At 51.6% G+C, this 24,510-nt stretch overlaps 3 protein-coding genes across 16 annotated transcripts in view, besides 2 other annotated features; 1 reads left to right on the top strand and 2 right to left on the bottom strand.

The window, feature by feature from the left end:
* CIB1 (calcium and integrin binding 1) overlaps positions 1-16,738 on the top strand; it is a 35,785-nt gene extending 19,047 nt beyond the window's left edge. The window contains exons 1-7 of one of the 5 annotated variants that reach the window (NR_102427.1): positions 12,558-12,794; positions 13,010-13,044; positions 14,386-14,494; positions 15,206-15,356; positions 15,500-15,618; positions 15,691-15,779; positions 16,208-16,468. Coding sequence is in view for 3 of the 5 variants with exons in the window: in XM_006720375.3 (XP_006720438.1) it covers positions 12,828-12,878; positions 13,010-13,044; positions 14,386-14,494; positions 15,206-15,356; positions 15,500-15,618; positions 15,691-16,020 (795 nt within the window). In the remaining 2 variants the exon portion in view is untranslated. Of the gene's footprint in view, positions 1-12,557; positions 12,879-13,009; positions 13,045-14,265; positions 14,495-15,205; positions 15,357-15,499; positions 15,619-15,690; positions 16,055-16,207 lie in introns of those variants that run through there. The other 4 variants (NM_006384.4, NM_001277764.2, NR_102428.1 and 1 more) reach the window with 4 other exon arrangements.
* GDPGP1 (GDP-D-glucose phosphorylase 1) lies at positions 902-12,504 on the bottom strand. 2 transcript variants are annotated; one of them, NM_001322811.2, is made up of 5 exons: positions 12,421-12,504; positions 12,117-12,191; positions 10,532-10,650; positions 8,165-8,221; positions 902-5,813 (listed from the first exon to the last, which is right to left on the bottom strand). In NM_001322811.2, the coding sequence occupies exon 5, from the start codon at positions 5,802-5,804 to the stop codon at positions 4,647-4,649; it is 1,158 nt and encodes a 385-aa protein (NP_001309740.1). In that variant the 5' UTR covers positions 5,805-5,813; positions 8,165-8,221; positions 10,532-10,650; positions 12,117-12,191; positions 12,421-12,504; the 3' UTR covers positions 902-4,646. The 2 variants fall into 2 exon arrangements, with proteins under 2 accessions (NP_001309740.1, NP_001013679.2); NM_001013657.3 differs by lacking the exon at positions 10,532-10,650.
* Positions 12,370-12,809: a silencer, noted in NCBI's record as "silent region_6818". NCBI's record gives its function as "represses an Ori minimal core promoter by ATAC-STARR-seq in GM12878 lymphoblastoid cells {active_cell/tissue: GM12878}" and the evidence as "EXISTENCE:reporter gene assay evidence [ECO:0000049][PMID:35858748]".
* Positions 12,830-13,279: a silencer, noted in NCBI's record as "silent region_6817". NCBI's record gives its function as "represses an Ori minimal core promoter by ATAC-STARR-seq in GM12878 lymphoblastoid cells {active_cell/tissue: GM12878}" and the evidence as "EXISTENCE:reporter gene assay evidence [ECO:0000049][PMID:35858748]".
* Positions 16,739-17,051: 313 nt separating the features above from the next.
* SEMA4B (semaphorin 4B) overlaps positions 17,052-24,510 on the bottom strand; it is a 44,742-nt gene continuing 37,283 nt past the window's right edge. For 4 of the 9 annotated variants that reach the window (NR_172049.1, NM_020210.5, NM_001324030.3 and 1 more), the window contains 7 exons: positions 22,973-23,154; positions 22,725-22,875; positions 21,535-21,745; positions 21,316-21,431; positions 20,886-21,052; positions 19,071-19,156; positions 17,053-18,809 (listed from right to left, as the gene is read on the bottom strand). Coding sequence is in view for 8 of the 9 variants with exons in the window: in NM_020210.5 (NP_064595.2) it covers positions 18,070-18,809; positions 19,071-19,156; positions 20,886-21,052; positions 21,316-21,431; positions 21,535-21,745; positions 22,725-22,875; positions 22,973-23,154 (1,653 nt within the window). In the remaining variant the exon portion in view is untranslated. Of the gene's footprint in view, positions 18,810-19,070; positions 19,176-20,885; positions 21,053-21,285; positions 21,432-21,534; positions 21,746-22,724; positions 22,876-22,972; positions 23,155-24,510 lie in introns of all 9 variants that reach the window. The other 5 variants (NM_001393916.1, NM_001324032.3, NM_001324031.4 and 2 more) reach the window with 4 other exon arrangements.

Genomic DNA, 24,510 nt, shown 5'->3' with positions numbered 1-24,510 from the left:
GGGTTCAAGTGATTCTCCTGCGTCAGCCTCCTGAGTAGCTGGGATTACAGGCATCTGCCACCACACGGGGCTAATTTTTGTATTTTCAGAGAGATGGGGTTTCACCATGTTGGTCAGGCTGGTCTCAAACTCTTGACCTCAGGTGATCCACCTGCTTGGGTCTCCCAAAGTGCTGCTGGGATTACAGGCGTGAGCCACTACACCTGGCCTCAGCAGTCTGTTAACTGGATTCCCTGATTCTATTCTTCACTCCATCCATCCTCCCCATTACAGCGTAAGTATTCTTCCTCAAATGCAAAGCTGTTACTCAAATGCAAAGCTGTTACCCCACATTAAGTATTCTTCAAGGTTTCCCATTAGATCAAGTCTAAACCCTCTTAGTACATGAGGCCCTGCATGAAGAGTTCTGATTATCGTTTTTTGTTTTGTATTTTTTTTTTGAGATGGAGTCTCGCTCTGTCACCCAGGCTGGAGTGCAATGGCACGATCTTGGCTCACTGCAACCTCTGCCTCCTGGGTTGAAGCGATTCTTCCGCCTCAGCCTCCTGAGTAGCTAGGATTACAGGCGCATGCCACCATGCCCGGTTAATTTTTGTATTTTTGTAGAGACTGGGTTTCACCATGTTGGTTAGGCTGGTCTTGAATTCCTGACCTCCGGTGATCTGCCCGCCTCGGCCTCCCAAAGTGCTGGGATTACAGGAGTGTGCCACCGTGCCCGGCCTCTGCATGAAGAGTTAAGCAAAAACGTGGGGAGGTCCTGGGCTGGGTCAGCACTTCCTACCATACTCAAAGCCCAGGGCTCGGAGTACAAAGGGCCCCTACGTGTTTCCTACTCAGTAGAAAAAGCTGCAGTCCAAATGCTCTTCTTGAAGATTCACAAAGCATATAAATAGCTGAGAAATACCACCAGAAAGAAAACCCATTTTACTTTCCCCTTTTTATATGGAGAAACATATTTGAGTCAGGGAAGGCTTTCCTCTAAACATCAGTCCTACGGAGAAACTGGGAAAATCCTGATATTTGGCTTATCACTTTGAACGCAAAATCCACTTTGCTGTAATGGTCATCCGAACTCCCTTCAGAGAGCAAGCAAGCAAAATTAAGTGTGATACTGGAGCTTATGCATGCAAAAGCTTGCAAAAAGTATTAAGGAAAAATTACTGCAGTTTACCAAAAATATGAGGGTGGTCAACATTTTCTGATAGAATGGTAAACTGTTTTTTTCTTTTTTTTTTTTTTTGAGACAAAGTCTCTCTCTGCCGCCCAGGCTGGAGTGCAGTGGCGCGATCTCGGCTCACTGCCACCTCCGCCTCCCAGGTCCAAGCGATTCTCCTGCCTCAGCCTCCTGAGTAGCTGGGACTATAGATGTGCACCCACACCCAGCTAATTTTTGTGTTTTTAGTAGAGACGGGGTTTCACCATGTTGGCCAGGCTGGTCTTGAACTCCTGACCTTGTGATCTGCCTGCTTCAGCCTCCCAAAGTGCTGGGATTACAGGCGTGAGCCACCGCACCTGGCCTAAACTGTTTTTCTTATAAAATGGGCTATGGACACATATTCTGCTTTATCACAGGGAGACTTTGTAACATCATTTGGGATGTAAAACCTCTAATGAAAACTGGAAACTAAGGCTTTATACAGGCCTAGGTATAGGGAGCCAACGACCTGAAGGCCTAAGCCAGGGCTAGGACCCACAGTTTGGGAGGCAGAGAAATCAAAACCCCTCCTGGGTGAGCCCACTCAGACAGCAGCCAGAACCCACCTGTGTGAGCCCCCTTTCACCCTTACGCTGTGAACAGGGACTCTCATTCCTTCAGGATGTTTGATGAAGGAGTGGTGGCGGTGATAATCTCTGTTGAGAGCTGGACCCAAGACTTTATGTATTTATTTATTTTGAGACTGAGTCTCGCACTATCGCCCAGGCTGGAGTACAGTCGTGCAATCTCAGCTCACTGCAACCTCCGCCTCCTGGGTTCAAGTGATTCTCCTGCCTCAGCCTCCCAAGTAGATGGGATTACAGGTGGCCGCCACAACGCCTAATTTTTGTATTTTTAGTAGAGATGGGGTTTCACCATGTTGGCCAGGCTGGTCTCGAACTCCTGACAAGTGATTTGCCTGCCTCGGCTTCCCAAAGTGCTAGGATTAAAGGTGTGAGCCAACGTGCCCAGCCAACCCAAGACTTCTTTTACTTTTGCTGTATAACATTCAAGGGAGCTAAAAGGAAAATGAGATTTCACACCCACATACTCTCTTAGAATAGTGTCTACTGACTAGTTCCTCTGGAACCAGTGTGAAATGTCTGGAGAAACAGGACAGAACAAAGCAATGAGATAAAAAAAAATTTCCCACATTGACTCAGATGCAGACGGAGGAACAACGACTTAGCTTTGGATTTTGTGTCTACATCAAGAGGAGCTTCTAAAGTGCTTGGGAAAGACCCCAAGAGGGATGGCTGAGGCTCAGGGAGGGCAAACTGTTAAGGACAGTGCTACCCACCATGGGAACCACTGACTGGAGAGGCGGTCACAAGCACACATTGTCCCAGCTCATCTTCTGGTACCTGCCTGTGCTGCAGTCCCGACTCCAGCTGCCTGACCTTGAACAAAGTACAAACTGTCAGTCTCCATCCCGTTTTGAATGGGGGTATTAAGAAGACTCAGGCTGAATTGCTTGAACCCAGGAGGCAGAGACGCAGTGAGCCGAGATCACACCACTGCACTCCAGCCTGGGCAACAGAGTGAAACTCTGATTCAAGAAAAAAAAAAAAAAACTCAGGCCAGGTGCAGTGGCTCATGCCTATAATCTCAGCACTTTGGGAGGCTGAGGTGGGAGGATCTTGAGGCCAGGAGTTCGAGACCAGCCTGGGCAACTTGGCAAGATGCTATCTCTCCAAAAAAATAGCCGGGTGTGGTGGCGCATGCCTGTGGTCCCAGCTACTAGGGAGGCTGAGATGGGAGTATTGTTTGAGCCCAGGAGGTTGAAGCTTGCAGTTAGCTGTCTTCATACCACTGCACTCCAGCCTGGGTGACAGTGACCCTGTGTCAAAAAAAAAAAAAAAAAAAAAAAAAAAAAACCTGCACCAAGGTGTGGTGGCATCTTAGCACTCTGGGAGGCCGAGGTGGGAGGATTTCTTAAGGCCAGGAGTTTGACAGCAACCCGGGCAACATAGCAAGACCCTATCTCTACAAAAAATTTAAAAATTAGCCAGGTGTGATGGTGCACACCTATCGTCCCAGCTACTCAGGGGGCTGAGGTGGGAGGGTGGCTTGAGACCAAGAGTTTGGGTCTGCAGTGAGCTGTGATTGCACCACTGCACCCCAGCCTTACAAAAAAACAAAACAAAAAAAGACGTGCACCCGGAAAGTTGTGACAACACTGTGTTTTTACATCAGATGATGTCAGTGAAGAGCATTCAACTTGGTGTTGGGGGCTAGAGGAAAGCTCAAGGTGGCAGGGAAAGTGAAGGAGTGGGGCATTTGGGTGGAGCAGGGCTAAATGGAAAGAAGGGACAAAGCAATAAAAATAAGTGGTGAGCAAAGGGGAATAAACAGGCTGAGAACAGAAGTGGCAGCTCAATACTGGAGGCACAGGCACTATTACCGTGCTAACATTTGATATCAAAGGAAGACAAAATCTAAATGTAAAGTCAGGAGTGTGTAACTGTCACACACACTCCTTTTTAACACCCCTGGGGCTTGAACAAGAACGGGGAGAGGTAGCAGATACATTCATGATGTCTTACTCAGTAGAATTATTCCAGATTTTCTCCCCTTTAAAGAGACCACTATCAGCTCCCCTTTAAAGAGACCATTATCTTTCTCCCCTTTAAGAGATCATTATCAGCTTTCTTCATCCTTCTTCTTAGGCTGAGACAGGTGAGAAGGCAGCCATGAAAATAAATGTCCAAAGGACTATGATGGACAGTGCTCTGGAAAGGGACTCATCAGGTAGAAAATGAATACATCCTGGCTGGGTGTGGTGGCTCACGCCTGTAATCCCAGCACTTTGGGAGGCCGAGGCGGGCGGATCACCTAAAGTCAGGAGTTCAAGACCAGCCTAGCCAATGTGGTGAAACCCCTTCTCTTTTAAAAATACAAAAAAATTAGCCGGGTTTGGTGGCAGGAGCCTGTATAGTCCCAGCTACTCGGGAGGCTGAGCCAGGAGGATCACTCGAACCCTAGAGGTGGAGGTTGCAGTGAGCCGAGATTGTACCAGTGCACCCCAACCTAGGTGACAGAGCGAGACTATCTCAAAAAAAAAAAAAAAAAAAAAAAAAAAAAAAGAAACAGAAAAGAATCCAGGGGCTCACTCCTGTCATCTCAGTACTTTGGGAGGCCGAGGTGGGAGGACTGCTTCAGCCCAAGAGTTCAAGACCAGCCTGGGCAACATGGTGAAACGCTGTCTATATAAAAAAATACAAAATCACCTAATCGTTAAAAAAAAAAAAAAAAAAAAAAAAAGCCAGGTGTGTGGTGGTGCACGCCTATAGTCTCAGCTACTCAAGAGGCTGAGGTGGGAGGATCACTTCAGCCCCAGAGGTGGAGGCTACAGTGAGCCAGGATCATACCACTACACTCTAGCCTGGGGACAGAGTGAGACCCTATCTCAAAAGAAAAGAAAAAAAGAACATAAATACATCCAGAAGTATTATTGCTCTTCCTGGGACATCAGGGCCACCAGTGCTGCCTGTACGTCTTCTGCCTGGGATGGGGGCAGCCGACAGTCCTGAATGAGGGCCACAGCAGCTGCCTCTGTCAGGCTGCTGAAGTCCTGGGATGTTTTGACAGGGAGGTGCCCAGCCAGCTCACAGAGGGCAACATTGAAAGCTTCACCGTCCTTTATCCCAAAGCTGGACTTCCGGGCCCACAGAATTACTCGGACCCCTGTGAGGGCTGAGGAAGGTGATGTCTTTCCCGGCGGAGCTCCCCGGGTGACAAACAAGTTATGAGCAATCTCATGGTCAGTCAGATAATCAGTGGCCCGACATACCCTGCTTATCAAGGACTCCAAGTCAGGCCCTGGCCCACGAGTGTAAAAGAGGAAGCCAGGAGCTGGGAGGTCCTGGAGCAGATGCAAATGGCCTCCAGGGTCCAGGGGCTCGCTTGGCGCCTGCTCCACGGGCAGTCTGTGGGCCAGGTAATAGCCATGCAGGTGGAGGTGGTTCACCGAGGCCAAGCCTCCCAGGCTGTTGAAGCCGACACGGAAGCCCGGGTGTAAGCTCAGCAGCACAGCCTCAATCCCTGCCCTCAGTGCACCCGGCAGCAGGCGCTGGGGGAGCTGGCGGGCAGGCTCAGGCACCAGCAGCACGTGGCCCCACTCCAGGGGGCTGACGTTGATCACCACCAGGATGTCTTCTTGCAGCAGAGTCCCAGGGAGATCAGGCTCCCGGTGCAAACGGAAGAGGACTTCTCCGGGCCGGATCTTGTTGAAGTTGAACTGTACAGGGTCAAATGCCTGCCTCACACTCTTGATGGTCTGCGGGGGCCTCCTCTGCACACCACGCTCCACATTCAGCTGAGCCACGAAACCCACAGCACCAGGGAGGATTTGGGTCTGTAGCTCCCGTAGACGGTAGCGAAACAGCCCCAGCTCCACCCGCTGCTTCCAGGCAGAGCAGAGTGCAGCATCAAAGGGAGATTGTGGCAGAGCATCTGGGATGCCAGGTGCATTCCTTGGCCACTGAATCCCTTCTGCCATGAGATCCTTCTGCCCATAAACAAAGTCAGGAATGGTTTGCCTGCCCCAGTCCTCATTGTTGGGAGGCAGCAAATAGGAAGTTTCGTTTGAATCATGTGGAAGAGCCATAGAGCTGACCTGAAATAGTCATAAAAGATGAAAACACATGATGGTAACCCACCTCCAGAGATTGTCATTGTATTTATTTATTTATTTTTTTTTTTGAGATGGAGTCTCACTCTGTCACCCAGGCTGGAGTGCAGTGGCAGTGATCTTGGTTCACTGTAACCTCCGCCTCCTGGGTTCAAGCGGTTCTCCCGCCTCAGCCTCCTGGGCAGCTGGGGTTACAGGCAGGCACCACCATGCCCGGGTAATTTTTGTATTTTTAGTAGAGATGGTGTTTCACCATGTTGGCCAGGCTGGTCTTGAACTCCTGACATCGGGTGATCCCTTTGCCTTGGCCTCCCAAAGTGCTGGGATTACAGGCATGAACCAACATGCACAGCTTATTTATTTATTTTTATTTTTTTGAGACAGAGTCTCACTCTGTTGCCCAGGCTAGAGGGCAGTGGCGCGATCTTGGCTCACTGCAACCTCCACCTCCTGGGTTCAAGTGATTCTCATGCCTCAGCCTCCCAAGCAGCTGGAATTACAGGCACCCGCCACCAGGCCCGGCTAATTTTTGTATTTTTAGTAGAGGCAGGGTTTCACCACATTGGCCAGGCCGGTCTTGAACTCCTGACCTCCGGTGACCCTCCCCTCTCGGCTTCCCAAAGTGCTGGGATTACAGGCCTGAGCCACTGCACCTGGCCTATTTATTTATTTATCACTCTGTCACCCAGGCTGGAGTGCAATGGCGCTATCTTGGCTCACTGCAACCTCTACCTCCCAGGTTCAAGCGATTCTCTGGCCTCAGCCTCCCAAGTAGCTGGGATTATAGGAATGTGCCACCACAGCCAGCTAATTTTGTATTTTTGGTAGAGACAGGGTTTCACCATGTTGGTCTGGCTGGTCTTGAACTCCTGACCTCAGGTGATCCACCCACCTCGGCTTCCCAAAGTGCTGGGATTACAGGTGTGAGCCACTGCGCCCAGCCACGGCCTATTTTATTTTGAAACAGGTTCTCACTCTGTCACCCAGGCAGGAGTGCAGTGGTGCATACATGTCTCCCTGAAGCCTTGACCTCCCAGGCTCAAGGGATTCTTTCACCTCAGCATCCCAAGTATCTGGAACTACAGGCATGTGCCACCAGGCACTGCCGAGATCGCACCATTGCAGTCCAGCCTGGACAATAAGAGTGAAACTCTGTCTCAAAAAAATAGATAGATAGATAGATATGGTTTGGCTATGTCTCCACCCAAATTTCATCTTGTGGTTCCTATAATCCCCACTTGTTGTGGGAGGGGCCCGGTGGAAAGTAAATGAATCATGGGGGCGGTCACCTCCATGCTGTTCTCGTGATAGTGAGTTCTCCTGAGATCTGATGGTTTTATAAGAGGCTTTACCTCCCTCTTTGCTCTGCACATCTCCCTGCTGCTGCCATGTGAAGAAGGATGTGTTTGCTTCCCCTTCTGTCATGATTGTAAGTTTCCTGAGGCCTGTCCACCCTTGCAGAACTGTGAGTCAATAAAACCTCTTTCCTTTATAAATTACCCAGTCTTGGGTATTTCTTCACAGCAGTGTGAGAACAGACTAATACACACACACACACACACACACACACACACACACATTTTATGTCTCATATAGATCAACTATTTTTTCTTTCTAAAAATTATATATATCGAGTAAATTTTTTTAATGGAGAAACAATAAAGATAAAATATAACCCTTTGTTATAATGCCTAAGGAAAAATCACAATTTATGTTTAGCTTCATTTTCATACATAGATGGATCTTGACTTTTTAACCAATCTTCAACTGTTTATATAGGTTGTAGCTAGTTTCATTCTATTATACACAATGTGGCAATGAACATCCTATACACTCACACACTCATCATTGAACATGTCATGTTTTTATTTTCCTTTAAAATAAAATCCTGGTATACCACTGGGTCAGAGTAGGTCCATGGCTCAGGTTTTGGTTTTATTTTGTTTTGTTTTGTTTTTGGTAGAGACAGAGCCTTGCTATGCTGTTCAGGTGGTCTCAAATTCCCATGGCTCAGATTTTTTATACACACCATCAAACTGCCCTCCAGAAAATCATACCTGAGTTCCAGTGCATGAGAGTGCTCAGGGTTTCAAAGATGACCACTTCTTTTGTGGGAAAAGCTTTTCCATGTTCCATAGTGATTCCAATTGGTCATGCATAGAAACATTTGGGTGAGGATGGCACTGATGTGTGGGTAAGTGTCCAGGGCCAACCTTTCAAGGGGGAAATTAGTGCCTGTCTTCATCTTCCCCTGGCTGCCTGGAGCCCTGGACCCAGCACTGTCAGGGAGAGGGGTCTGCCACTGGCCCAGATAGGATGTCAAAAGGAGGCATTACCTTAGTAGAGTCACTTCAGTCCAAGTTTGGGTTCCTTCAGCTCTGCTGCTCCAGAAACTTCATGTTAATAAAACAGAAAGGAAACAAAACATATAAAAAATTACATATCAAAAGTCAAGCTAAGTTTAATGAGTATTGAGGCTTAGTTTGCAAGATGAAAACGTCCTGGAGATTTGCCGCACAACATCGTGAATGTGCTTAACACGACTATACACTTAGAAATGGTTCAGATGGTCAATTTTTTTTTTAAAGACAGAATCTCACTCTGTCAGCCAGGCTGCAGTGCAGTGGCACGATCTTGGCTCACTGCAACCTCCACCACCCAGGTTCAAGTGATTTTCATGCCTCAGCCTCCTGAGTAGCTGGGACTACAGGTGTGTGTCACCACGCCCGGCTAATGTTTGTATTTTTAGGAAAGACCAGGTTTCACCATGTTGGCCAGGCTGGTCTCGAACTCCTGACCTCAGGTGATCCACCTGCGTTGGCCTCCCAAAGTGCTGGGATTACAGGCGTGAGCCACCGCACCTGGCCAAAAATGTTTAAAAGTGAAGCTAATCCTTTGAGCTGGAGCTGCAAGGTAAAAGACAACAACAACAAAAAAGTGAAGCTAAGCATAATTTTGATGATCAAATGTAGTATCTTATTCTCACCTTACTGCAATGTCTGCCTCCCAGACTCAAGCAATCCATCCACCTCAGCCTCCCAAGTAGCTGGGACCACAGGCACTTGCACCAGGCCTGACTAATGTAGTATCTTATTCTAATAAAAGAGAATCTTATCTGACAGGCGAAAAAATTTAAAATGAGATAATAAAAATAATACAAAACCAAAAAAAGGAGAAAAAAAAGAGATAATCTTAGACATTTTTTCAAATAAGATATAAAGATGGCCAACAAGCACATTTGGGATGTTTAACGTCATTAATCAATAAGAAAAGGCAAATCAAAATCACAATGAGGGGCTGGGTGCGGTGGCTCACACCTGTAATCCCTGGACCAGCACATTGGGAGGCTGACGCAGGTGAATCACGAGGTCAAGATACCGAGACCATCCTGGCCAACATGGTGAAACCCTGTGTCTACTAAAAATACAAAAATTAGCTGGGCGTGGTGGTGGGCACACACCTGTAGTCCCAGCTACTTGGGAGGCTGAGGCAGGAGAATCACTTGAACCTGGGAGGTGGAGGTTGTGGTGAACTGAGGTGGTGCCACTGCATTCCAGCCTGGTGACAGAGCAAGACTCCATCTCAAAAAAAAAAAAAAAAAGGGAAAAAAAGAAAATTACAATAAAGTCCGGGCACGGTGGCTCACGCCTGTAATCCCAGCACTCTGGGGGGCCAAGGTGGGTGGATCACGAGGTCAGGAGTTCGAGACCAGCCTGGCCAATATGGTGAAACCCTGTCTCTACTAAAAATACAAAAAAATTAGCCAGGTGTGGTAGTGGGCGTCTGTAATCTCAGCTACTCGGGAGGCTAAGGCAGGAGAATCGCTTGAATCTGGGAGGCAGAGGTTGCAGTGAGCTAAGATCGCACCACTGCACTCCAGCCTGGTGACAGAGTGAGACTCTGTCTCAAAAAAATAAATAAAATAAAAAATAAAAGTATATCAGCAGCTCGGTTTTATCACTGTACCAAGAGTTGATCAGGTACAGGAGGGACAATATGCTAACCAGATTCACCGAGGACTACCAAATGATTCAGACTGCCCATTTAATAATCTACCATGAGAGGCCGGGCGTGGTGGCTCAGCACTTTGGGAGGCTGAGGGAGGCGGATCAAGAGATCAGGAGATCGAGACCATCCTGGCCGACATGGTGAAACCCCGTCTCTACTAAAAAAAAATACAAAAATTAGCTGGGCGTGGTGGTGCACTCCTGTAATCCCAGCTACTCAGGAGGCTGAGGCATGAGAATCAGGTGAACCTGGGAGGCAGAGGTTGCAGTAAGCCAAGATCATACCACTGTACTCCAGCCTGGTGACAGAGTGAGACTCCATCTCACAAATAAAAATAATTTACAATGAGAAATATGCCAAATGGCACAAAAGGTTCTTGCTGGCTGGTCAGTGTACAAAATGAATCAGGAAGCAAAATGAAAACCAAAGGTTGTTCCATGAAGGGTTCAGAGCCAAGTGAAGTGACTGAGAGATCTAGATCACAGCTGGTCACCAGGCACAAAGCTGACTCTCATGTCTTCACTATAAAGAGATACTTATGGCTGGGTGCAGTGGCGCACGCCTGTAATCCTAGCACTTTGGGAGGCCAAGACAGGCGATCACCTGAGGTTGGGAGTTCGAGACAAGCCTGACCAACATGGAGAAACCCCGTCTCTACTAAAAATACAAAACTAGCTGGGTGTGGTGGCACATGCCTGTAATCCGAGCTATTCAGGAGGCTGAGGCAGGAGAACTGCTTGAACTCAGGAGGCGGAGGTTGCGGTGAGCTGAGATCATGCCATTGCACTCCAGCCTGGGCAACAGGAGTGAAACTCTGTCTCAAAAAAAAAGAAGACAGATACTTATTACCATGCAGTCCAGGTATTCGCCTTGGCTTGTAAGAGGCAAACAAGGTCTATTTAGTACAGGAGACATAATGACAGCTTCTTGCTTTTTGCCTAAGCTTTTACTAACAGAAGACTAACTCTTTCTCGGACAGAAAGAGCCTGCTATTAAGAGAAAAATGATCGGCCGGGCACGGTGGGTCACGCCTGTAATCCCAGCACTTTGAGAGGCCGAGGTGGGCGAATCACGAGGTCAGGAGATCCAGACCATCCTGGCTAACAGGGTGAAACCCCGTCTCTACCAAAAATACAAAAAAATTAGCCGGGTGTGGTGGCGGGTGCCTGTAGTCCCAGCTGCTGGGGAGGCTAAGGTAGAAGAATGGCGTGAACCCAGGAGGCGGAGCTTGCAGTGAGCCAAGATCATGCCACTGCACTCCAGCCTAGGCGACACAGCGAGACTCTGTCTCAAAAAAAAAGAGAAAAATGATCAGGTTGGGATGGGCCTATACCCTAGTTATTTTTTTTTATTTTTATTTTTTGAGACAGAGTCTCACTCTGTTGCCCAGGCTGGACTGCAGTGGCACAATCTCCGCTCACTGCAACCTCCAGCTCCCAGGTTTAACCATGTCTGGCTAATTTTTGTATTTTTAGTAGAGATGGGGTTTTGCCATGTTGGCCATGCTGGTCTTGAACTCCTGGCCTCAAATGATCCGCCTGCTTCAGCCTCCCAAAGTGCTGAGATTACAGGCATGAGCCACCGCGCCTGGCCTTGAATATTTCTACAATGATGGAATGTACCTGTTAATACAGTGTGTCTTATCAAACACATGCTGCCAAGGAGAGCACTGGGTATTCTTCCAGTGTAAAGTAGATTCCTAGGCAGTCTAGGGAGTCAGGAAAGGCTTCCCTGAGGATGAGATGGAAGAGGGACTGAGGGCCCAAAGTGGCTGAAAGACAGAGAGCCAATAGGAGGAAGTCCAGTTACAGAGGGCCAGGATTTGGGTTTTTAACCATTTAATGGTTATAAACTGAGACTAACATACTCAGATTTAGACTTTACAAAGATCAGCAAGTATAATGGATTGGAAGGATCAAGAATTAATCCCAGCCTGACCAACACAACCTCCACTTCCTCCTCCCAGCAGTTTGGAATCCTTACCTTTTGCAATAGTATACGTTCATTCATTTATTATGCATTCGATAATATTTACTGAGAGCCTACTATGTGCCAAACATTATCCTAGAGGTTAAGAGGGGACAAGAGCAAAGGGTCAGCAGTCTAGGGGTGAGATGGAGTCAAAAGGACGGCAGGTCAGCTGGAATGATGAGAACAGCAGTGGAGAGCCTTTAAAAGTGCCTTGGACTGGACCGATTACCTTCTAAATGCCGGCGCCCGGAAAAATCACTAACACCCTTTGGACTTACGTATTTCCATCTTTGTAAAATGGGAACCTACCTCGCAAGGGATGTTGCAACAATCGAAGAAAACTATGCACAATGCTTGACATCCAGTGGGTCCTCAGTAAATAGCCTAAGAAGGAAGCAAGGTTATGGTTACTTCTGGAAGAGGTGGCTTGGGGGCTGCGACAGGTGCAGCGATTGCCTGATGATAACATCTAGAAAAGCCCTTGCTGGGCAGAGGGGCAGCCGACGACCCCCGCCACTCAGCGAGTCTCCAGGTTTCCCGGAAACGCTAGCTCCAGTGACTTCTCAGATGCCCCTATGGGACCCCACCCAGGGCTGCCGCCGCCACCACCTACTGCAGCCGAAGCGGATGCACCTCGCGACTTTCCCCGCAGCCGCTGCCGGGGCCACAGCGAGGTCATGACGCCCGTGACGCATACGCAGCCAGCACGCACGCGCGCGGCGTGGCCCGCCCCCCCCTCCCACCCCGGAGGCGGGGCCGTGAGTCCCGGGCTCCGCCCCGGAGCGTCGGGCCCCTCCCCGGGCCCCGCCTCCAGCTCGCCTAGGACCGCTTGGAGCCGGCAGCTCGCCTGCCAAACCCGGCTGGGAACGCCTGGCAGCTTTTAGGAGGGGGCGGGCCCGGGGGTGGTGGCCCCAGGAGCGGTTGCCGCGGGGACCGGGCAGTGACGCGGCCCAAGGGCGGAAGTGAGAAAGTTGTCTGCGTCTCGAGGCGAGTTGGCGGAGCTGTGCGCGCGGCGGGGCGATGGGGGGCTCGGGCAGTCGCCTGTCCAAGGAGCTGCTGGCCGAGTACCAGGTGCGCGGGACGCCTGGCCCTGGGGAGCTCGCGTGCGGGCCTCTTCTCGGGAGCAGGGTCCGGGAGCTGGCTGCGGGGCGGCCGCGGCCTCCCAGCGGTCCGCTAATCCCCGCTCTGGCTTTGCCTTCCAGGACTTGACGTTCCTGACGAAGCAGGAGATCCTCCTGTAAGTGCTGCCTTGAACCCTGCCTCCGACCCCGGGATCCTCTAGAGACAGCTTCGGGGGCGCTGTCCCGAGGGAGGGGCGGGGGCTGGCCTGAGGTCTGCAGAGGAGCGGGAGCTGGAGGCCGGGAGACCTAGCCCGGGCTGCGCCCTCCTCCCGGCACGCCCTCCCCGCCCTCGCCTGAGGCCCCAGCGTGGCACCGCGGAGCCACCTTACAGCCTCCAGGAAAAGTTAGGCGCTCTTTGACCCTGGGCTCCACTAGCTTCAGCACTGCCGAACTTCCTGCCCCAGTCCGGCAGGGGCCGACCTTGCCCAGTGGCTAAACCACAGAAGCCTTGGGGAGCCCGGCTCCTTCTCCCAACTTTACCTGAATAATACAGTAACCGTTATCGCTTTCTGAGCACTCACCATGTGCCAGGGACTGTGCTAAATGGTTGCCTGCGTTACCTAATTTAATCTTTAGGAGAGAGGTACTGGACAATGAAACAGGTTCAGAAAGGTTTGGTAACTGCTTAAGACAACACTCTGAGTAAGTAGATTTGAACTTGGGCTGGAAGCCCTTTTGCCGGATTTATGCAGGCCAGGTTCCTGTGGCAAAGATAAGCTCATGGGAAGGAGGTGGAGGCCGAGGAGGACAGTTCAGTGTGGTTGCTAAAAAGGAGGCTTTGAGGGTAAGAGATCCCTGGAGTGAAGGTGAGAATGAGATTTTTGGTTTTGCTCTTTTCTCCGTTTTTTTTTTTTTGAGACAGCGTCTCGCTCTGTCGCCCAGGCTGGAGTGCTGGGGCACGATCTTGGCTCACTGCAGGCTCTGCCTCCGGGTTCAAGTGATTCTCCTGCCTCCGGGTTCAAGTGATTCTCCTGCCTCAGCCTCCTGAGTAGCTGGGATTATAGGCACCCGCCACCATGCCCGGCTAATTTTTGTATTTTTAGTAGAGAAGGGGTTCACCATGTTGCTCAGACTGGTCTCAGACGCCTGACCTCCAAAGCTCCGCCCGCCTTGGCCTCCCAAAGTGCTGGGATTACAGGTGTGAGCCACCGTGCCTGGCCAATTCTTTAGGGCCAACTTCTGGCTCCTTTCCCAACTTCTTCATCCCTTGGGGATCTCTAGAATCAGTGCCAAGCACATAGTAAATGCTCAGTAAATACTCATTGCAAGAATAGACTCCTAGGCTGTACTGCCTTGTGACATGTCCTTTTGCTTACCGTTGCCTGATGACTCGGAAGTTCTGTGTACGTGGTTTTAGCTCCTCACCTGGTTGACAATGAGCAGCAGGCAAGGAGTGGGAATGAACACACAGGGAGACCGATCGCTGAGAACACCGACAGTTCCCCTCTCTCTACCAGAGCCCACAGGCGGTTTTGTGAGCTGCTTCCCCAGGAGCAGCGGAGCGTGGAGTCGTCACTTCGGGCACAAGTGCCCTTCGAGCAGATTCTCAGCCTTCCAGAGCTCAAGGTGCAAGCGCTCCCCTCCTTTGACACCTCTCCCACCACTCCCTCCCTGCTAGACCCCCTAACTCCATCTGCCACTAGCTTTGGGATCATGGGGTCACTGGTCCCCACTCTGGTCATTTTTCTGCTTAGTTCTGATTTTCTAGGGGCAAGGACTTTACCAAAATCACCTGGCAGAATTATCTAGAATGGTGCTTTTCAAATGGGGATTCTAGAACATAATCTTGGAAGTTCAAAGAAGTTTTGTCCCTTAAGAGGAGTTGAGGTACCTCATTAGAGTTTGAGGAACCGTGTTCTAGAGGCTGATTGCCACTCCGTAAGGCTGCTGCAAAATTTCTGTGCAAAGGGCCTGGCCCGGTGCCTGTAACACAATAGCTGTTCAAGTAAATATTTGTGTTTTAAAATAACCAGCCCATCTCGTTCCCTTTGTTTAGGATGACTTCTTCTTCCCTCTCTGCCCACACTTACGTTGTATGTGACCTGCCTTTGGGTTAAACACTTGACTCCCAGGAAGCCATCTCAGTCCCTTCCCCAGCTGGGTCAGTTTGCTTTCCTGTGCCCCCACTGCCCTCCATGTTGGCCCCAAAGCACTGACTGTTCACCCCCACGAGGCTGAGCTCGCTGGTGCTGGTCCTGTGACCTGCTCTCTCAAGTTTCTGGTAGGCTTTAATGAGCGTGTGACCTGGGCCACGTCCTGTGGCGTTTGTTCTCCTAGGCCAACCCCTTCAAGGAGCGAATCTGCAGGGTCTTCTCCACATCCCCAGCCAAAGACAGCCTTAGCTTTGAGGACTTCCTGGATCTCCTCAGTGTGTTCAGTGACACAGCCACGCCAGACATCAAGTCCCATTATGCCTTCCGCATCTTTGGTGAGAACCAGGAGCAGCCCGGCAGGACACCACCCCTTCCCACGTGGGCTTTGTGGTGGCCCTGCTTGGGAAATGGGCGCCGTTTGGGGAACCTCAGAGCCCCTCCCAACCGTGTCTTTTGGCTTCCTGTGTCTGCTCTCTAGACTTTGATGATGACGGAACCTTGAACAGAGAAGACCTGAGCCGGCTGGTGAACTGCCTCACGGGAGAGGGCGAGGACACACGGCTTAGTGCGTCTGAGATGAAGCAGCTCATCGACAACGTGAGCAGCTGAGCAGGCCTGGGAGCGGGAGGGAGCAGTTGGGGCTCTGGCCTGAAACTCTCCCTTTCCCAGATCCTGGAGGAGTCTGACATTGACAGGGATGGAACCATCAACCTCTCTGAGTTCCAGCACGTCATCTCCCGTTCTCCAGACTTTGCCAGGTATGACAGTGGTCCCCCTTCATTCTGGGTACCTGCAGGTTCCGACCTGCTGCCTCTGGGCCTAGGGCATGGCTACAGGAGGTGGTGCCAGGGTGAGAGAAAGCCCCAGTCCCCACACACAGGGCCGGCTAAGCTGGCAGTCTCGCCCCGGGCAGGGGCAGCCCTCCTTGTCAAGACCTCTCCCCTTCCCACTGCCATTGTCATTGCTCTGTGTTTGTACTCATTAGTAATAAAGGTTTAGAAGCTCTGACCCAGTGTGTGGGTCCAGAAAGCTCCCTCTGGATGTCTCGGGGAGTTCTTGCAGAGGGGGCTGACACACGGAACATAGCCCGTTCCAAAGAAGGGTCTAAAGGGAGAAGGGGGCAAGTTCGGGTTTAGTCCCTGCCCTCCTCTTCCAGCAGAAAACCCACCGCTTTTCTCTTGTTCAGCTCCTTTAAGATTGTCCTGTGACAGCAGCCCCAGCGTGTGTCCTGGCACCCTGTCCAAGAACCTTTCTACTGCTGAGCTGTGGCCAAGGTCAAGCCTGTGTTGCCAGTGCGGGCCAAGCTGGCCCAGCCTGGAGCTGGCGCTGTGCAGCCTCACCCCGGGCAGGGGCGGCCCTCGTTGTCAGGGCCTCTCCTCACTGCTGTTGTCATTGCTCCGTTTGTGTTTGTACTAATCAGTAATAAAGGTTTAGAAGTTTGACCCTATGTGTGACATGAGATACACTGGTATGAGGAAGGACTGGACTTCTCTTCTAAGAGCCTTCAATCATCCTAGGAATAAGCAGCATATCGAGCAGAGGCCAGCGGGAAGTCAAGCCGCACCCACGCTGGCTGTCCCCGTGGGAGGGTGTGAGGATGAAGGGGCAGCAGGAGGTGTGGGACTCGCCTGTATCCTGATTGGGGTGGTGGTTAGATGAGTCTCTGCATGCATCAAAATGTAAAGAACCGTACATCAGTAAAGTCTATTTTACTGCATGATCTGAAGAATTAAAAACTTTAATACAGGGCCCCCATCCCATCCCATCCCTTCCCTTGTGTCCCTACCCTTGCTAAACTGAATTGGGGATGCAGAATGAAGGGGTTGAGGTAAACGCAATGAACCCCCTGCCTCCGCCTATCAGTGCGTTAAGCTCCCCACCTCAGAGCCGCCCCACAGGGAGACGTTGCTGACCAGGCTAGGCTGACTCTGGCTCACTTGAGCCTGCAAAGAAGAGGTTCAGAACCTCTCAGAACTCAGAAGACTAGACCTACCTCAAAAAGCAACTGTCCTTGAAGAGGAAGAGCCAGGATTAAACAGTAATTCTTCAGACTTTATTAAAAAATGACATAAAGTGCATCTTATTAAAAAATGTATAAAAACCACATAAATTCAGGGCCCCTGTGCTGGGCAGTGTTGATATCCCTTAGAGTGGAGGAAGGTGAGGGATGGAGGGTGAACTGGGGACTGGGGAGAGGACCAGGGTGCAGTTAGTTCCTCGTGTTTGAGTTCAAAGATGGAGCGAGGGTGGATATGGTGGGAAGGGGCACACGGGTTCTCACGCAACAACGGAGGAAGGCAGGCGACAGTCTCTTCCCTGAATTCTGAGGGAAAGGCGTACATTGTCACGAAATCTCTCCTGAGCTCGCGCTGTCCTCTCGTGTGGCCACAGCCTGATACAGGCTGGAAAGGTCCAGGAGTTGGGTCCGAGCCCAGGACCTGGTGAGGGCCGCAGTGCCAACCTAGCCCTCTGGTCCCTGAGGTGGTGGGACGACGGCAGCAACAACTACATCCTCGGCTGACTGGCAAGGCAGAACGCACGCAGCCCAAGCTGGTCCTGAATCTGCAGTGAGACAGGGCAGCCGGTGGCAGCGGGATAATGTGGAAGGTGAAGAGGCCAGTTGGTGAGGGTTTCCAACTCTGTCTCAGACAACCACTTTGGATGCATCCCCAGCACCCCTGGGAGGCCATGAACTGGAGCAGCCGTGTGTGCTGCATGCCATGCTATCTCTTCCCTCTCATTCTAGTTTCACATTTGGAATTGTTTTTTAAACAAAGGGCTCAGTTTACATAAGGAGCACTGTTCCACCAACCTAGGCAGGCCCCCATATTTGGCCAGGACCTCTGGGGCCACGGCTGTTTGGGTGTCTGGGTGGTAGGAGCTTCGCTACTTGACTGGAGAGCAGCAGGCCAGCTGGCCCCAAGGCTCCCAAGGGCCGGGCACCACGGTCGTGTTCCACGAAGAGCAGAGCGGAGGGGAGGTCCAGTTGACCCTCTCCGAGCATTCACAGCCCCTGAAGCCAGGGCAGCGTCCTCTGGAAGTCAGCTCTCACACCACAGAGTCACGGATCTCCGAGCCAAGGCGGACCCGGGGCCGGGGGCACACTGGGGATACCTCCACGAAGCTGTCTTGGATGCTGAGTGGCCTCTTCTCTGACTCAGTGAAGACTCGGGACCCCGGGGGGCTGTCTGACAGGGACTGGTACCCTCGGTGATCGAGCGGGGTGCTAGGGGGCCCTAGGCCGTTGAGTGGGCGGGTCTCAGGGGGCAGCACCACAGGGCAGGTCTTGGGGTGCACGCTGGCACATTCCCCCTGCTTCAGGAAGACTTTCATGCTGTTCCGGTGCCGGTAGAGCAAGAATAAAACTGGGAGCAGCACGGCCAGCACAAAGAGCGTGCACATCACCAGGAACTCCTTCCAGTAGGACCTGTCTGCACCCCAGCTGGCCTTGCCACCAGCTGGTGCACTCACACGCGATGTGCTGATAATGACGGGTACACTGCCACCCTCATCTGTTTGGTCTGCCACCCCGTCCTCCACCACCTCTGGGCAGTAGCTGGCTACCAGCTGCTGGAAGCCCTCCTCTAGTGACCAGCACTGGAACTCCCCCAGCTGTTGGGTGCCCACCAGCAGCAGGTCCCCAGTGGGTAGCACGTGGCAGGAGGCCGAGGCATTGACGGGGGCCCCGTTGCGTAGCCAGAGTCGGGTCGCCAGGTTGGAGAGGAGCGGGCAGGCCAAAGTGTTCACTGTGTTGGGCTGGAACTGGACTTGCTCACATGGCTTCTCCCCTGTAGGCAGAAAAGGCATGGGGTAGGGGGGTGCCAGCGTCCACAGTAGCTCCAAGCTCCCCTGCCTCCCTCTGGGCTATGCCCCTGGTGCCACGATGGGCAACTCCGGGGACCCCTGGGACTGAGTCTTCCTGGGGACCTGCTTACAGGGGTAGGGGGCAAGGAAGTGAGGAAAGGCATTTACAACATCTGTGCCTGGGGGAGCCTTCCAAGCACACTTGTCCCCACCTCTCTCCTCCACCTTTTGAGGGGGCACCTCACCTGTTGGTACAAAAGACGGGGACACAACCGAAGACGCGCTGCAAAGGTCCTTGGCGCTGGCTCCCTCGATGTCCTGGATCCACGGCCTGAGGGCCAGAGAGAATTCTGGGATTGGCCAGGAAGTCCCCTGAGCTCACATTCCCTCACCCCTCACTGCAGACTTGGGCCTGGGCAAGGGCCTTTCCTGAGCTGATTCCCCACCCACAGGAGTCAGCATCTCCTCTGTCTACACATTATTTCAAGTCAAAGCTAAGATAACACTTCCCTTAATTACATAAACAGTATGTACCCTCAGTGGCCAGGCATGGTGGCCCACGCCTGTAATCCCAGCACTTTGGGAGGCCAAGGCCGGTAGATCGCTTGAGCCCAGGAATTCAAGACAACCTGGGCAACATAGCGAGACCCCATCTCTACAAAAAATAGAAAAATTAGCCAGGCATGGTGGCGCACGCCTGTGGTTCCACCTGCTCAGGAGGCTGAGGTTGGAGGATCGATTGCTTGAGCCCAGGAGGCCAAGGCTGCAGTGAGCTGTAATCACACCACTACACTCCAGCCTGAGCAACACAGAGAGACCCTGTCTCAAAAAATAATAATAAAAAATAGTATGTACCCTCAGAAAAAGATTAGAAGGACAGCTGGGATCTGTATGTATAGATCTCTCTTTTTCTTTTTTTTAATTAAAATTTTTTTTGATGTGTTCTCATCTTTTTTTTTAAACAGTGCACATGCATACATCTGTGTAATAAAAAATAAAGGACAGTAATTCTGGATACACTCAGGAGACAGATAAGTCAACCAGGCACGAAGGATGAAAACACTACAAAAATCACAGCATCTACCAGCCAGTGATCATGACAGTTAACATTCTGGGGTGTCCCTCCTGGCATACGCACCAAAACTCACTTGGTTTTTGTAAAAACTGACACCAGGTGTATCCATATGTGAAGCAAGAACACTACAAACAGGACAGTTGCCAATGTTATATAAAATATATGAATGTTTGGCCAGACGCGGTGGCTCATGGCTGTAATCCCGGCACTCTGGGAGCCCAAGGTGGGTGGATCATCTGAGGTCAGAAGTTCGAGACCAGCCTGGCCAACATGGTGAAACCCTGCCTCCACTATAAATACAAAAATTAGCTGGGCATGGTGGCGGGCACCTGTAATCCCTGCTACTTGGGAGGCTGAGGCAGGAGAATCGCTTGAACCCAGGACGTGGAGGTTGCAGTGAACCGAGATTGTGCCACTGCACTCCAGCCTGGGCGACAGAGCGAGTCTCCAAACAAGATAAATGAAATGAAATGAAATAAAATAAAAGGATTTTTGTTATCTATACACATATGTAGTAAAACCTGAGAGGATAATATATCAAAATCTCACTGCGATTCTCTCTAGGTGGTGGGATGAGGGGTAGTTTTGCTTTGTGTTCATCCCTATTTTCTAAATGAACATTTTATAATCCAAATAGGTTATTCTGAAACCAATTTTTACTGGGTTTGTTAATGGACTGTTTCCTAGCCCTACTATTACTAAAGCACGTTCACACGCTAATCCACATTTTCCTGCAAGGCTTTTCAAAGCTGTGCTATTTCATACTTTACCAAATCATGTCCTCGTTTTACAGGTAGCCAAGATAAACACACAATTTCCTGTCTGAATTGCACTTGAGAGGAAGCAGGAGAGCTAATTAATAATTATGCTGAGACAGTGGACATAAACGAGGCTGTGTGGCGGTCCCAAGGAGGGCCCAGGATGGTGCTCCGAGGTCACCTGTGCAGGGCTGGACAGATGGGAAGGGGCCTTTGGGAGTGCTCACCTGGTGGCCAGCTGAGGCTGGTAGAGGCTGACGTGCTTGCAGCTGGAGCCGCTCCAAGCACAGTAGGGGTCCCGGGCGAGGAGGCAGTCCCCACAGCTCCTGTACAGGCTGCAGTTGGCCATGGGCACCTGGACTACGCCCGAGTGTGAGGCCGCATACAGCAGCCCCTGCACAGCCAGACACGGGGATGAGAAGCGGGCATGGGCAGCCAGGGCCATCACCCATGGCCACCCGGCTTGTATGCCTCCCAGAGCCACCCCCAAGAGGCCTGTTACGTAACAGGCGACCCCACTTTCTAATAGTTCATGACTGGATCCTTTATCTTTCCATCCTCCTGAGGCAAGGGAGGAGAAGCTGGGTGGGGACTGCTTGGTGCTAATGGAGGGCACCCCCCAAGTACCCTGCCAGGATTCCTCGTTGGCCTGCTCACCCTGTGGGTGTCCAGGAGCAGATTCTGCACGGGCTGTCCCGATGAGAAGATCTGCAGCTCCTCAATGATGTGCACCCGGGGGCCCACGCTCACTGCCTTGTGGAGCCGGCCGTCACCTGGGGTGTGGACAGGACTCAGGCCCTGGGTGGAGCCCACTGCCCATGACCCACCAGCCACGTGCACCCCTTCCCCTGAGCCTGCTGGGCTGCAGACACTTACCAGTGCCCAGGAAGAGGACATCGTAGGTGTGGTGCAGGCCAGGGACGCGGTGTACAGCCACGCGCTGGTAGCGAGCCTGGGGCTGCAGCAGCAGCATGCGGCTTCGGACCTGCCCGTCCATCAGGAAGTGGTCCTTGAGGAAGTTCAGCACGCGGTCTGGGAGCTGCAGGGATGAGTTGATCTTCCTTTCCCGGGCACTGTTGGTGATGCACTGGAGGAGAAAGCAGCAGTGTGAGGCCAGCCACACCTCGGGGTGGCAGGCAGGATGCGGGCCCTGCTTCCCCAGTGGACAGTAGCGGTGTCTGTCCCCCCGCCCGGAGCCAGGGCACATCCCTGGCAGTGCTCTACAGAGCCAGTGTGCACATCTGAGGGAGCAAGGACAAAGCCCAGGGTGCGGGGAAACCGAGTGCTTGGAGGGCTTCCTTGCTGTGCCTCCTCCCTGCCCACCACCCCAGCCTCATATGCCCAGGGGCCTCAAGAACCAGGACCACACTCCCTGCTCCTCTGCACCCTTCACCAGTGCTCTCAGGAAGCCCTGGCCGGGCAGAGCGTCCCAGTGCAGTCGGCAGTTCTTTCCTGCCCCGCCTGAGGCTTCCTGAAATTCTGAGAGGTGCTCCACACCATCTGTCAGGGGCTCCAGCAGGACCCAGCTCCAGCTGCCCACAGCAACAACAGCGTGCTGACACACCCTCTTTTGGTTTCCCTCCCTCCTCCTCTCAACCTTCCTATTCCTTCATGCTGCTTCCTGGCATCACCTCCCTAATAAACTATTTGGCACGTATATCCTTGTCTCAAGGTCTGCTATCAGGGTAGCCCGTTAGGCTAGAAGGGAGGAAGAAAGGATTATTTCCCCACAGCTTGCCCATTCAGTCACTTGATAATTAAATAAGGAGCTTGCAGCTGAGTAGGGGAGAGGACCAAATGAAGAGATGATTGTAACAGCCTGCAGCAAGTGCCCTGATGGGGACACACTTGTATCCTGAAACAGAACTGAAGATATTCTGACATTCATACTTATATCTAACCCAGTACACAAGCAGGCCTGGGCCTATATCCCCATATTAAAGATGAGAAAAGAGATTCAGAGAAGCCAAGTGATCTGCCCGAGGCTAGGCAGCCTTGCTCCCAGCATGGTGTGGGGACCCACATCTTCCCGGCACCCCTTCTGGGTGCAGGGAGCCAGTACCCACCGCTCCAGGCCGGGGTGTGGGCACCGGGTGGGTCACGGTGTACCACTGCTGTGTCTCACGGTTCACCTCCTTGTAGAGGCCGCTGAAGACTCTCTGCACATCCTTCATTGTGAAGACACAGACGGCAGAGCCTTCTGTAGTTCCCCTGTGCCTGCAGAGGAAATAACCAGATTAACCCAGGAGCCCTGGGGGCCCCAGTCCCAGCCACCCTTCACCCTTCCATCTCCAGCGAGGTCTGGAGGCCCTACCACTGGGAAGTGAAGACCCCATAGAAAAGGGTGTCACGCCAGTCCTGGGGGCTGGGGCTCAGCGTGAAGACATCCTGCAGCACGTTGAAGGGGAAGCCATCGTCGGGCCGTGAGCACAGCAGCTGGGCCTTGAGGAAGGAGGTCCAGCGCTGCTGTAGCACCCGCTCTCCACCCTCATCGCCCTGGAGGGAGAGTCGGATGGGCTGGGCTTAGGCACATGCTGAGCCATGACGGGGATGCACGGCACAGGACTGCCTCAATGGACCCACCCCAGACACCAGGACTGAAGGGCAGGAGAAGGCCAGGACCAAGTTCCATCTAAAGTCAGGAAGAGCAGTGTACGCATCCATCAGGAGGATGGTCCTTACTGTAACTAAGCAGAGCCTTCCTAAATATGGACGCGATTCACTGCTGAGCAAACAAGGAAGCCAAAGGACCCCAATATAGCCTAATGCCATGTTCCTGAGTGAGTTAATAATATAAGTACAAGGTCGGGATGGTACTTATATTATTAATGCCTATAATTCCAGCACTTTGGGAGGCCAAGGCGGGTGGATCACTTGAGCTCAGGAGTTTGAGACCCTGTCTCTGCTAAAAATACAAAAAAATTAGCTGGGCATGGTGGTGCATGCTGGTAGTCCCAGCTACATGAGGGGCTGAGGTGAGAGGATTGCTTGAGATTGGGCAGCGGAGGTTGCAGTGAAATCTCACCGCTGCACACCAGCCTGGATGACAAAGTGAGACCCTGTCTCAAAAAGGAAAAAAAAAAATGTATATATATATATACACAGAGTTACACATATGCCAAAAAAAAAAAAAAAGATTTGGAGGGGGCATTCTAAAATGATACCAGTGACTCCTTCTTGTGCTGGGGTGGTGGGGTAATAACATTCATAGTTCACATTTAGTCACTGCCCACCACATTTCTAAGAGCTTTGCGTGGATTAATAATTCACATAACAACTCTGAGGTCAGTGTTATTCTTCCTATTTAACAGAAGAGGAAACTGTTAACCGAGGGGGTGAGGGACTTGCCCAAGATCCTAGGCCAGCAGGGTTTGAACTTGGGCAGTTGGCCTCCAGGGTCTGTGCTCTCCAGCTGATGCTACAGTGCCTCTTTAACTTGTAAGTGATTTTTGTGTGTACAGTTTTCTATTTTCACATTTTTTTTTTTGAGACAGTCTTGCTCTGTCACCCAGGCTGGAGTGCAGTGGCACCATCTCGGCTCACTGCAACCTCCACCTCCCAGGTTCAAGCGATTCTCTTGCCACAGCCTCCTGAGTAGCTAGGATTACAGGCGTGCACCACCACGCCCAGCTAACTTTTGTATTATTAGTAGAGATGGGGTTTTACCATGTTGGCCAGGTTGGTCTCAAACTCCTGACCTCAGGTGATCCACCCACCTTGGCCTCCCAAAGTGCTGGGATTACAGGCGTGAGCCACCATGCCCGGCTATTTTCACATTTTTTAAGTAAAAAAAAAAAAAAGAAAAGAAAAAAAATGGCTGGGTGCAGTGGCTCATGCCTGTAATCCCAGCAC

This window comes from Homo sapiens, chromosome 15, assembly GCF_000001405.40.
Source record: "Homo sapiens chromosome 15, GRCh38.p14 Primary Assembly".
NCBI classification, from domain to species: domain Eukaryota; kingdom Metazoa; phylum Chordata; class Mammalia; order Primates; family Hominidae; genus Homo; species Homo sapiens.
The sequence above is the reverse complement of the archived record's forward strand: the minus strand, read 5'-3'. Positions and strand labels throughout refer to the sequence as shown.